The sequence below is a fragment of the Homo sapiens genome, chromosome 18, assembly GCF_000001405.40.
Source record: "Homo sapiens chromosome 18, GRCh38.p14 Primary Assembly".
Classification (NCBI taxonomy): domain Eukaryota; kingdom Metazoa; phylum Chordata; class Mammalia; order Primates; family Hominidae; genus Homo; species Homo sapiens.
The window spans coordinates 62,743,299-62,756,497 of record NC_000018.10 but is presented as its reverse complement, the minus strand read 5'-3'; the positions used below and the strand labels follow the sequence as shown (position 1 = coordinate 62,756,497).

At 39.1% G+C, this 13,199-nt stretch overlaps 1 protein-coding gene across 1 annotated transcript in view, besides 2 other annotated features; it reads right to left on the bottom strand.

Moving 5' to 3' along the window:
- Positions 1 to 13,199, bottom strand: part of PHLPP1 (PH domain and leucine rich repeat protein phosphatase 1) — a 264,893-nt gene that overhangs the window by 223,936 nt on the left and 27,758 nt on the right. The gene's annotated exons all lie outside the window — the stretch shown is intronic.
- Positions 3,745 to 4,640: an enhancer, noted in NCBI's record as "OCT4-NANOG-H3K27ac-H3K4me1 hESC enhancer chr18:60419091-60419986 (GRCh37/hg19 assembly coordinates)". NCBI's record gives its function as "activates a minimal SCP1, AML or CMV promoter by ChIP-STARR-seq in primed H9 embryonic stem cells {active_cell/tissue: H9 hESC(primed)}" and the evidence as "EXISTENCE:reporter gene assay evidence [ECO:0000049][PMID:30033119]".
- Positions 4,641 to 5,537: an enhancer, noted in NCBI's record as "OCT4-NANOG-H3K27ac-H3K4me1 hESC enhancer chr18:60418194-60419090 (GRCh37/hg19 assembly coordinates)". NCBI's record gives its function as "activates a minimal SCP1, AML or CMV promoter by ChIP-STARR-seq in primed H9 embryonic stem cells {active_cell/tissue: H9 hESC(primed)}" and the evidence as "EXISTENCE:reporter gene assay evidence [ECO:0000049][PMID:30033119]".

Genomic DNA, 13,199 nt, shown 5'->3' with positions numbered 1-13,199 from the left:
TGTCTAGATCCCAACCACTTCTGGATTCTCAATGTTGTGAAATAATAATCCCCTGATTATTTAAGCTTCTTTGATTCAGGCTGTCCATTACTTGCAGACGATGGCATGCTAAATGTGTGGGCCTCCTCTCCTTCTGGGCACATGGCAGGACTATCCTTCCTAGCTCCCTGGTGGCTGGGTAGGCCATGCCACTTCTGCCAAGTGAGCTGAAGCCCTCTAGAACTTTCTTTTCCCTTTGGTAGCCAGCAGCATTCCGGATAGTGTTTACTCCATCAGCCTGGCTCCCTGAGTGGATAATGATGTATACACGAAGCTTCCCTCTCCCTCCATGATGATTAACACAACATGAGCAGAAAATAAACCTTTATTATTTCAAGCCACTAAAGTTACTTGGGAATCATGAGCTAGTGTAGCATGTTCTAACACATTTTATTAAAAAAAAAAATGAATGAGTCAAAGAAAGAAAAAAATCATTAATCTGTGTTCTCACTTGGCACAAATTGAAGGGGGGGGGGAACAAAAATATTCTCACAAATCATGTTTCTTTTTGCCTTAACAAGACATAAAGAAATGGCAAAAAGAATAATTTGCTAAGGGAAAGTAAGAAAAGAGAACTGCCCCCAGAAGAATGAATAATACCTTCTAAGAAACCCCCAATAGAAACTGCCCAGTTCAAGCAAACAAAAAATAGATACAAACTATCTTACCAGCACAAAATAAAGCAATTTTCTATCTGTCTTAGTCTGTTTGGGCTGCTATAACAAAGTACCATAAACTGAGCAGTTTATAAACAACAGAAATGTATTTCTCACAGTTCTGGAGGCTGGGAAGTCCAAGATCAAGGCACCAGTAGATTTGATGTCTGGTGAGGGTCAGATTCCTAGCTCATAGCTGGCACCTTCTCACTGCATCCTCACAGGGTGGAAGAAGAATAGTCTCTCTCAGGCGTCTTTTATAAGGGCACTAATCCTATTCATGAAGGCTTTGCTCTCATGACCTAATCACCCCCAAAAAGGTCCCCACCTCCTAAAACTATCACCTTGGAGTTTAGGATTTCAACATATGAATTGCACAGGGACACACATACACTCACACCACGGCACTATCTAAACTTTGCCCTCTTTCTCCATAGGAATCATTAGAGGGGAAGGAGTTACTTATTGAGAAAACTGGTATTGGTAAGAACCTAAAGAAAGGAAAAGAATGAGCCAATGGGTTGACAGAGCATGACAGGATCAGGTTTTGGACGTCCGGGCTAGTTACAGAAGTGCTTTTCAACTTTCACGTATCTGCACAGAATGAAAGGATTATAATGATCATCTATCTATCCAGGGGACAACAAAGAAAGAAACATAAAATGTCTAAACCTCTACTTCCTACAAAAAACATCAGCTAATTTCACTATGTCAGTTACTTCAAAATGCTGTTGTCTAGCTGGCTAACTCAAAGACAAAAATCTGTCAATGTCAAGAAGCCTACTGTGGTCCTGGAGACACATATTAGAAATCCTAGAAAGACTACAGTCACTTTTTTTTCAGAGACAGGGTATTGCTATGCTGCCCAGGCCTTGATCTCCTGGGCTCAAGCAATCCTCCCACCTCACCCTTCCAAGTAGCTGGGACTACAGGTATGTACCACCAGGTGTAGCTGACTATGGCAATTCCTACTTTCTATTAAACATTACAGAAATGTAACGCCGTGAACATTACATCCTCAATCCTATTTCTTCTCTCTTAATTTATATGTGGAATCTGGTATGTTGTATATATCATTGTTACCCTTATAGCAAATTACAGGGGGAATGACTTCCATTACGTTTTGATACAATAGCTAAGCAGCCCTCCCTTCTGATATTTCCCTCAGGGGTCTGGAGAGGCCTACTTTTGATACTGTGGATCCAAAGTACACGAAGCTTTCTCAAACACCTTCTAGTCCTTTCCATGATGCTCCCCAAAGCAAAAACACCTTGCTCTCTCAGCGTTAACTGCAAAATGCAATCTTCTTGTTCCTCTTAACGGAAAGCCTCTGAAAGCCAAACACATTTTATTACACTGAAACTGGCAGAGAAACAGTTTGGGAGGGGAAAAAAAGTATGAAGACTGCAGCCTCTACACCTCTAGAAGAGTGGCCAACTTGCAGACAGGTGCCCTGCACAGATTCCTGTGCACACACAGACATGCCCTACTGCTACCCCAACATTCATACCCAACAACTGCCTAGTCTTGTCTCCAAGCACAGTGTGCCAGACTGACAAGACAGGTGATGGGGAATGCCTGTTGCACAAAGATGAAAAGAATTCCACAGCAGAACAGAACAGCTGAGCAAGTAATTCAGGCACAACTGAGAGGCCAGAATCTAAGACAAAGTACAATGGCAACTTCCTTGGAGAAGGTAAGATGGTAAAGCAGTTCAGAAGAACAGCTGAAGTGTTTAAGACAAGCAGGGTGGGAACTACAAGCTGAAGGGCTAGTTACATGGGTGTAACAAAATGCTTTCACCACACAGCCTTTATTGACAATCAGGAATAGGTGACAGCTCAAGAAAATAACCAACCCAACTCCAAAAGGGCTGACTTCAAGGAAAAGCAATAGCCTCAATCTCACAGGATCAAAAATTACTATGGTTTCTCTTTCTTTGGCCCATAGTAAGAAATCTTACAAAACAGTCAATTTCATTAATTGAACTTGCAGAGAAATAAACTGCAAACTTTAAAAAGTCATAATCTTAGGGAAATTATACTTTTATTAGCCTAATTTGTTGGAAGGTACATCAACAATAGTAACATGTTATATCCTGAAAAGGAAGGGTGAAGCCCATCCTAGAGTGGGCAGCATGGACAGGGCATGCTCCTGTCTCAATGTTTAGTAACTAATGAATTTCTAAAGTCCCACTATTTAGTAGAGCACCTGAATGCAGCTACACACATCTACAGTGACCTGATTAAATTTTTAGGAAGGCAGTGAACAGAAACATCTGCTAGGGAACAGGACCAGATGCCAGCAATGCATGCAAAGTGCCTGTGCAACTTATGGGACATTGCTGGGTGCAACAAATGATAGTTATTATATTACTATTATAAAAACAAGCCTTCAGTTATTTTCCTCTAATCAAACTCTATATATAAACCATATTGTAAAAGTCTTCTTAAGTGACTTATATAAACTCAGTTGATTAAATCAGAAAAGAGCACATTAAAATGATAAATCATATAGAATACTGTGAACTAAAAACATTTTTTGTCATCAGCTTCCCATATTAAAAAAGAGAACTTTACCTAAGAAAACATCCTTAACCATAATAAAATGTGCAGCATATCCTCATGCCCACCTCACTAAAAAACAAAACAGAAAAAGCTCTGCACTATTTCTCTCAATGCAAACTACTGATATTCAGTTCTTCATCCTTATTCTATTACCTGGTTTCCTATGCATCTAGTCAAGGGTTCCACATGTCAGAATTCTTCTTGTCATAACCCTTAAACAGCTATTTTTCTTTGTTTATAATTTTTAAATGTATGTCACAGTAGTAATATGGCACAACACACAACTACACTCTCCACTTTTATTTAGTTTTCATCCAGTTATTCACACTTATTGTCTACTGAAGATTTTTCAGGGATTTGACAAGCTGTTTGATTTTTTGTTGTTGTTTTTAACTGCATGGTCAGCTTCAATAAGGATCTACTGAGACAGTAAGAGAGCAGACACTTGAAATGATCCCAAAAGTTTTGAAAAAGATATTGAACATGTAACAAGAGTGGAATCTAACCTTGACCATCCCCTGATAATGTATTCATTCAAAGCAAACAAAACGCAACAAGATCAAGCTTCCCTTGGGTTACAGAACTACTATTAACCAAGAGAACATCCTGGCAATTCAAAATTGGTGCCATGCTATTCTCAAGAATCCATCTACACTCATCTTTATCTATTTTCTACCACACTGGCCTCTCGAAACAAAACAAAATCATTCTAGTTCCCCTCTTTATCTGCATATCTATTTGAAAAGACTGGAGATATAACAACAATTCAGCGTCTGTTGTAAAAGGTCGCATACTCTAAACCAAACCTAAATAATACTTACTTTTAAAGACCATGCAGAAGAGAAAAGCATTCCTTAGCCTCTTTATCTTCCTGTTTAGATTTTAAAATGTTTAGATGTTTGCTTGAACACCCTGCTTCTCTGTGTCAACTCCCAACTTACTACTAACACAACCTTAAGAGCTATTCTTTACTGGGTGGGGGCGCGGGGGGCCTGGACAGGCACAGTGCTCATGCCTGTGGTCCCAGCTACTCAGGAGGCTAAAGCGAGAAGACTGCCTGAGCCCAAGTGTTTAAGGCTGCAGGGAGGCATGTTCATGCCACTGCACTCCAGCCTGGGCAACAGAGCAAGACCTTGTCTCTAAAAAAGAAAACACAAAATTTAAAAATAAAAATCTTTTTAAATCCTTTAAAATACATTCACTGTAAGGAATAAATTCCTTTGGAGCACATTACCATTCCAATGCCCCCTACCCTCATATGACCTGAAAAGCTTTTTCTGAGTATTTTAGTACTACTTGTAAATAGATGTCAGAAGAAGACATATTTTCTGTTAACAGGAGTTATCAATCCACTGAGTCACTTAAGACCCTCCTTTATAGCTATGTTCCTGAGTGTGCTTTTTGTTTGGTGTTTTGTTTTTAAGGGGCAGAGCAGGAAATGGAGGAGGGGAAAGACCCACATAGTCCTTTGCCTTCCCTCATCTTTCCCCTCCCCCTCCATCCACCCCAAATGACTGTGAGAACTTCCTGCAGTGAGAACACCATGAATAGGGCCTGGCATCCAGACAGGAAAGATAGTGCAGGACTAGGAATGCCCTGAATAAAGCTTCTATGCAGCCACGAAATTAAAGGGATTCAGGAGCGACACAAAGGGCCTGGCTAGTTAATGGATTCAGTCTTTTCTTTTACAGTATAATTAGGCAGCATACAAATGAAAGCCTTTTCCAAGGAGCTGGACTGGACTAACAAGGCCAAATGACTCTCCTCTGCATGCTTGCCATTTTCCCCCTTGAGATGATGTTGTTCTTACTCTTAGAAAAACATTGCAGGAGGAAGTTGAAGTACAAATTCTCTCCTACCTAGAGGTCAAATTCCGAGCCACCTTCAAGTTTTACTCCTTTGGACACTTCCATATACATCACTTGTTTTAGAGACAGTTCGGACAGGGAAAGACTACCCCCTTCCTCCCACAAACATTCTATATGCTTCACATTTATTTTTGAAAATAATAATTATACTAGGAAATGTTTCCAGATCAATTCTGCCAACTAGGCTTATGAATAAGTAGTGGGGAAAACCTCTTACACATCTCAGATGTGCAGTTCTAAGAATCAATTCAAGATTCACTATGGATCACGGACATCTCAGCTGCAGTACCGAAAAAATCAAACGTGGCTAACACTGCTTTTTTGTTGGTGTTGGTTTTTTAAAATGCATCTCTCACTTTGGGACTTTGGGCACCTGAGGAATCAGGGACACCTGAGAAACAGTATTTAACGTGAACAGACATGTAGACAAATGAACTCCACAAATTTCTCTCTCTTTTCCCACTCTCTATTGTACTTGAATCCTTTCATTTTCTCTTTAATTGTTCCATCCAGGCGTTTCACCCAAAATGGGGTGACCTGTCACCTAAACCTTAATAAAGCAGGGAGTTTTTTGAAATGCAGCAAGAAAAAATACATTAATGAATCACAGAAGAAAGTGGAGAACCCAGTAGCTTGTAAAAAAAAAAAAACAACTAGGAAATTCACCCTCCCTATGTTAAACTATAGAATACAGTGTTTCCTTCCACAACAGCAACAAGTCTCACAAGTAGCTGGAAATCAGGAAAAAGAAAAGAAGGGCAATAAATGCAAAAGACAAAAAGTCAACAGTCCAATCTGAGACAAGCTGAATCTGAGCACAGCTTTTGAAAAAAACTATAAAAATATAAGTGCGGGGTTTTGAAGACTGTAAAGGCTTTTTCTTTTTCTCCTACGTAAAAGAGAGTGGCTATATTAGTAATCACAGAGCAACAAGTCTGATAGGAGTCCGCAGGTGCCCTATTGTGTCTGTATAGAGGGATGGAGAGAGAGGGAGAGCAGGGAGAGACAGAGAGAGAGAGAGATTATTACTAGACTTGTCTAGGTGAAAGCCTCATGAGGACATGAACTACTTCTGTATGTATCTCCAGTGAACACATAACTGCACGTAATAACAACACCCTTTGCCAAAAGAAAGATGAAAAATGGGTGTTTCAAGCTGATTTGTGTCCCCCTCCCTCATAATTTATATGCTGAAGCCCTAACTCTCAGTACCTCAAAATGTAACTATATTTGGAGACAGGGTCTTTAGAGGGGTGATAAGGTTAAAATGAGGCTGTTAGGGTGGGCCTTAACCCAATCTGACTGGTATTCTTTTTTTGTTTTGTTTTGTTTTTTGTTTTTGCTTTTGTTTTGAGGTGGAGTCTCGCTCTGTCGCCCAGGCTGGAGTGCAGTGGCGCCATCTTGGCTCACTGCAATCTCCGCCTCCGGGGTTTAAGAGATTCTCCCGTCTCAGCCTCCTGAGTAGCTAGAACTACAGGCATGTGCCACCATACCCAGCTAATTTTTATATTTTTAGTAAAGACGAGGTTTCACCATGTTGGCCAGGCTAGTCTCGAACTCCTGACCTCAAGTGACCCACCCGCTTCGGCTTCCCAAAGAGGGATTACAGGCATGAGCCACCGCGCCCAACCCTGACTGGTATTCTTATAAGAAGAAATCTGGACACACAAGAGACACCAGAGATGTGCAGGCACAGCTGGAAACACCAAGTGAGGACAAAGGGAGAAGGTGGCCATCTGCATGCCAATAGGCCTCAGGAGAAACCAACCCTGCCAACACCTTCATCTTGGCCTTCTAGCCTCCAGACTGTGGAGAAAACGAATTTCTGTTGTTTAAGCCACCCAGTTTGTGGTATTTTGCTATCACAACCTGAGCAGAATAATACAACGGGAAAGGCAGAAACTGGAAAGAGAGAAACTGAAAGGAAGAAAAGGAAGAAGTTAAATAGCCAGAATGTTAAATGTTATCTCAAAGTCTCTAGAAATACATACTTTCTCCCACATACTTTTCCATATTGTAGTAAATTCTTTTTGCAAGTAGGTATCTTTTTTAAGAGTCTTTTTTCCCCCACTCCCAGGAGGTTTGGAGTTTGGTCATATGAGGCTGCAAAACTTAAATTTAAAAAAAAAAAAAACCTTATATATACATTTATTTAGAATACCAGCAAGCCTTTGGGTAAATCTGAACATGTGCCGACCAAATAATAATAATTATGTAAAATTTCAGGAGTAAAAAAGTAAGAAAGCAAAAACACTAGAGAAAAGTGTAACACCTACAAATGAAGACGAGTTATCAGAGTTGAAGTATTCTAAGGTCTTTGTTTTTGGGGTTTTGTTTTAAAGAAAGGATGTTGAAGAAATGGTGATTATACGCTTTTTATGTGACATTTTGAAGTTAAATATTTAAAGGTAACCACTAAAATAATGTATTATAAAACTTCCAGAAGAATGGACAGTAAAATGAGAACTAAAGAACACACTACCAAGAAAAGAGAAAATTAAAACCTTAAAAGGTGTGTGTGTTGGGGGGAGCCACAAAGTCAAAAGTAAACAAATCCAAATATAAATAGATTGAATCCATAGATTCTCAGATTAAATTTTAAACCTGCTATATGTTGTTTAGAAGAAGGGCAACTATGGCAATATAGTAAGACCATAAAGGAAAAAATATATACCAAGTAAACAGTAACCCAAAAAAGCTATCATCATATTAATATCAAGCAAAATAGCCACTAAAGCAGAAGTCACTATTAGAAATAAAATGTCACTATATAATGAGAAAAAGATTCCACCAACAAGAAGAATATAACTATTCCGAATTTGGGCGGGGCGTGGTGGCTCACCCCTGTAATCCCAGCACTTTGGTGGCCAAGGCCGGCAGACTGCTTGAGCCCAGGAGTTCCAGACCAGCCTGGGCAACAGGGCAAAAACCCATCTCTACGGAAAAACTAAAAAAATTAGCCGAGTGTGGTGGCATATGCCTGTAGTCCCAGCTACTCAGGAGGCTGAGGTGGGAGGATCACTTGAGCCCAGGAGGCTGAGGCTGCAGTGAGCAGTGATTGTGCCACTGCACTCCAGCCTGGATGACAGAGCGATACCCTCATCTCAAAAAAAAAAAAAACAAAAAAAACCCTATCCTGAATTTGCCTGCTATTTATCAACATAGCCTCAAAATACATTGAATTAAAGGGGGAATTTCATGAATTCACAATTATGGAAGAAGGACTTCATGTATATAGTACTGTGAATAGTTGAGTAGTAAAACTATAGAAGATGAATGAAATACTTAACAATCACGATCTAAGGAACACATTAGACCTAACCAACACCCAACAATTAGAATGTACCTTCTTTTCAAGCAGACATGGAACAATTATACCAGATCACAAAGTTAATCTCAACCAATACCAAAGAATCAATATCATCCAGGCACTTTGACAATTATACGATAAAATCTGAAATAGTAAAATCTGAATTTACAAATTCTGATGTATTTGAAAACATCAAAATGACCTTTAAAACAATTCATGAAATAAAAGAAAAAAAATCAGCCAGGTACAGTAGCTCACACCTGTAATCCCAGCACTCTGGAAGGCCAAGGCGAGAGGATCACTTGAGCCCAGGAGTTCAAAACCAGCTTAGGCAACAGAGTGAGACCCCGTCTCTACAAAACATTTTTTAAAAATTAGCCAGGTGTAGTGGCAAACACCTGTCAGTCCACCTACTCAGGAGGCTGAGGTGGGAGAATCGCTTGAGCCCAGGAGTTCAAGGCTGCAGTGACCCATGACTGTGCACACCAGCCTGAATGACACATGGAGACCCTGTTGAAGAAGGAAGCGAAGGAAGGGGAGGGGAGAGGAGGGAAGGTGGGAGAGGAGGGAAGGTAGGAAAGGTAAGAGGAGGAAAGGGAAAGAAAGACAAAAATCGGCTGGGCGCTGTGGCTCACACCTGTAATTCCAGCATTTTGGGAGGCTGAGAATCGCCTGAACTCAGGAGGTGGAGGTTGCAGTGAGCCAAGATCATTCCACTGCAATCCAACCTGGGCAAAAGAGCGAGACTCTGTTTCCACAGAAAAAAAAAAAAAAAAAAAAAGGAAATGAAGAAAGCCTAAAAATTAGTAAGCTAAGCACCTGACCTTAGGAATAAAATGAAAGAGAACTCCTAACAAAACTAATTGATGGAATTAAAAATAAGAGCATAAATTAAGTATGGGAGAGGGGAATGATAGAAATTTCAAGAAAACCTAATGCTGATTCTTTCAAAACACGAATAAAAGTTACAAAGCCATGGTTAGACCAACAGTAAAGAGAAGGAACTAAAAAGGAGACATCTGAAATGTAGTAGACTTAAATAATGCTGAAAAACAGACATGGAATATTTTCTAGAAAAGTATCTCTTCCCAAAACTGAGTCTAGAACAATTAGAAAACCTGAATATAGCTACAACCATTAGATACATTTGAATTTGTAGTTTAAAGGCTACCAGGTCCAGAAAGCTTAAGCAAGTTCTACCAAGCGAAAAATAAATCACATTGCTATGCACCAGCAAACTTTTTTTTAGTTTTAATACACCATTTATAATAGAAAAAAAAAACCCACATACAATATATAGGAATAAATCTCACAACACACGCGCCAGGTTGTGGATCAAAAGTTGTACACAGGTTTACAACTTAAAAAAAAAAAAATCACATCTGAAGCACAGCAAAATGTTAGATTCAACAAAGCTGGTGGATAGTTACACAGGTGTTCTTTATATTACTCTTGTCTTCAGGCTTGAAATGGCCTATAATACATTTTTTAAAAGAAAAAATACTGCAAAGCTAAAATCATTTGGGCAAAACAAACTAAATTAATTGCTATTTAAGAACATCATTCAAATAGTGTTCATCTTACAATTTTCAAAGGCAACACGCAGAAAAGGAAGAAGAAAAGCAAATTGCCGAAGTAAGTCCTGACTAACAGCAGCAGGAACACAAGAAAGTGCTAACATTTGAGGAAAATTCACTATAAAAAATTAGTTTTGGCCGGGCGTGGTGGCTCATGCCTGTAATCCCAGCACTTTGGGAGGCCAAGGAGGGTGGATCACCTGAGGTCAAGAGTTCGAGACCAGCCTGACCAACATGGAGAAACCCTGTCTCTACTAAAAATACAAAATTAGCCGGGTATGGTGGCTCATGCCTATAGTCTCAGCTACTCAGGAGGCTGAGAGGCAGGAGAATCGCTTGAACCCGGGAGGGGGAGGTTGCGGTGAGCCAAGATCACGCCATTGCACTCCAGCCTGGGCAACAAGAGTGAAACTCCGTCTCAAAAAAAAAAAAATTAGTTTTTCTTCCATCTTCCTCCACTTATATAACATATATTAGGCATGCATTTGAGTATTCCCCTTGGGAGCCCAGAAAGAAATCCAGTGGTCAGCAATTCAGATCTAACACCTCTGACCCAGTCTCTGACACAGTTCACTATATACTAGTACAGTATTTGGATTTCAAATCTTTATAGTTTTCCTCCAGATTGTAAAAATTCTTATCATAGATTCATATGTAGAACACTGGCCAACATTTACTACCAGTAACTTTTTTCAATTCAGTCACTAAAAGAGGCAAGAGTAACATTAAGAATTTTAATTTTAATCATGAATTTTTCAAAGATTTGGTTTAGTGATTATAATTTCAATACTGAAATGGTTTAAAAAATGTAAAGTATTTGGTAAATACAGAACGGTGGTACTATTAAAATTACTCCAAAAAACCTCTAATTTCTTGCAACACTATAGCACATCCCCGTCACTCACCACTGCACTATGTGAAGGCACCCACATGCTCTCAATGAGAGTTCTCACCACCCACAAATGCCACTGAAGGACTGCTTAAAATTGAAACACCTCACTTTTAATAGTACCACTTGTTGACAATTTTTAACAGTATAAAATGAGCTAGATTTCTTAATGCAATGTTAGTTTATTGATTGTTTGGAGTCATTCAAACTACATTTTCATGTAATAACCACTAGGGAATAAGAATTTAGCCTATACTAGAACATGCAACTGGTAACGTGTTTACTTTTCCTGTTCTCTTAATCATGATAAACTAAATATTCTCCTGGAGTCAAAGGGTACAGAACCTGACCCCACCCACACTTTTTATCAAAGGTTGTCAGCAGCAAGTAAAGGTTCAGGCAGGCTTAACATCTACCAAAAAAATTAAAACCTCAACTCTAATTTCAAAGTATGCATTAGTATAACAAATAAGATTACTAAACCCTAAAATGCAATGGTATTAAAATTATTATTGTTTTTAAATGATATCCAAATGCCAGGTTTTAAAACATTACAAAATTACACCAGCTATACCTCCTAAACTATCTTCAAGTTTGTGGGCTCTATCCATGCTGTACTTCCTTCCTTTGGACATAAACCAAATGGAGGAATTCAAACTCCAAATTCTTAGGCCAAGAAAGGAAAGCCTAGCTAATGTTTAAAAATCTATTATTAAGAAGCCTATCCCTGATTTACATGTGACTAATGTCTAAGCTAAACATGTGCATATCTACACAAATTATTTATAATATTGTACAGTGTTATAATAGTAACATACCATGATTACAATCACTTCCAGTAACACATGCCAGTGGAGGAAGTAGAGGTGCTAACATCACTGAAGTTTCAAACATGGATGTGCATTACATGATCTGTTTATCTTCCTATGCCTTCATTATCAGGTTGATTTACTGGTTCCTTTTCTCCCTTACTCATTCAATAAGAATTGAGCACCTACTATACACCAAGCCTTCTGTTAGGCACTAAAAAACCAATATCCACAGTCCAAGGGAGAGGCACATGAGAACAAATTCATGCAATGCATGGAGTCAGGCTTAAGACAGAGGTATGAAGCACAGCAGGAACTTCAGCTGGCACTCTGACCACTCTCTGAATAAACATCAATTCTTAGACAGTGAAACAGCTCAAATACCAGCTTGGAGAAAACATGAGGCAAAAAATGCATTGAATTTCAGAGACACCACACAAATAAAGGTAATCTCTGTTCCTCTAAGTCAGGGTTCACAAACCCAGCAGGCCTCTGGGACCAGGCAGGAAGCCTGTATGAGGAGTGTGCTCGCACCAGGTGCGGGCATGCGCCCTCTGAAGGAGCCCCACCACTCACCAGAGGCATTGCCACAGAAGCTGGGGTGCCCAGATACTCTGATTTTTTAAAACAGAATTTAAAAAAAGAAGAAATCTTGATTCTTAAGGGAACTTTACAATGTCTAACTCATGGCAATTAACTTTAAAGTATTTCCAATTGTGCCTACCAAACAAAACACACCTGTGAGCCACATGTGTCCCACGGCACCAGTTTTGGACCTCTGCTCTAAATCCAGCAAAAGAAGATCCAACTTACCTCTCCACATCAAAGTAGTAAACATTAAGCAAAACTCAAAAAAATTAAAAAGCCTATCAACATATATGTCCAAAATTTCAATGTAACCACCACAGAGATGCAGTCACAAAAACTCACCCTGTGAGAAACTCTACAGGACAAATAACCTGGTTTTTTCAACAAGTAAATTGCAAGGAAAGAGAGGGAGAGGGGGAGGGTGGAAGAGGAGAGGGAAGAAGAGCTGGAGAGGCGGGAAACCTAAAATTAAAAGAAATTTAAAAGACATAAAAAATGCAATTACTAGGTTTGGACCACATTTGGATCATAATTCAAACCAAAAATGTAAGATTAATGGAAATTTGATCACTGACTAGGTAATTGCTGAAAAATAGGAATTAGTGTTAATTTTTAAGAAAATAACAGTGTCATCGTTTTGACTGAAGTACTTCCAAAGGAGTATTTCTGTATGGCGATACTTAAGTTTAGAGGTATTTATGGATGAAATGATATGAGATCTAGGATTAGTTTCAAAATAACCTAAGCAGAGGAAGGTGATTCGAGATAAAGTAAGACTGGCCATGAGTTGGCAACTGCTGATGCTGGGTAATGATTACGTGAGAGTTCATTACATTATTTTGCCTACTTTTGTAATTGTGTTTAAATTTTCCGTAATAAAAAAAAATTCTAAAAAA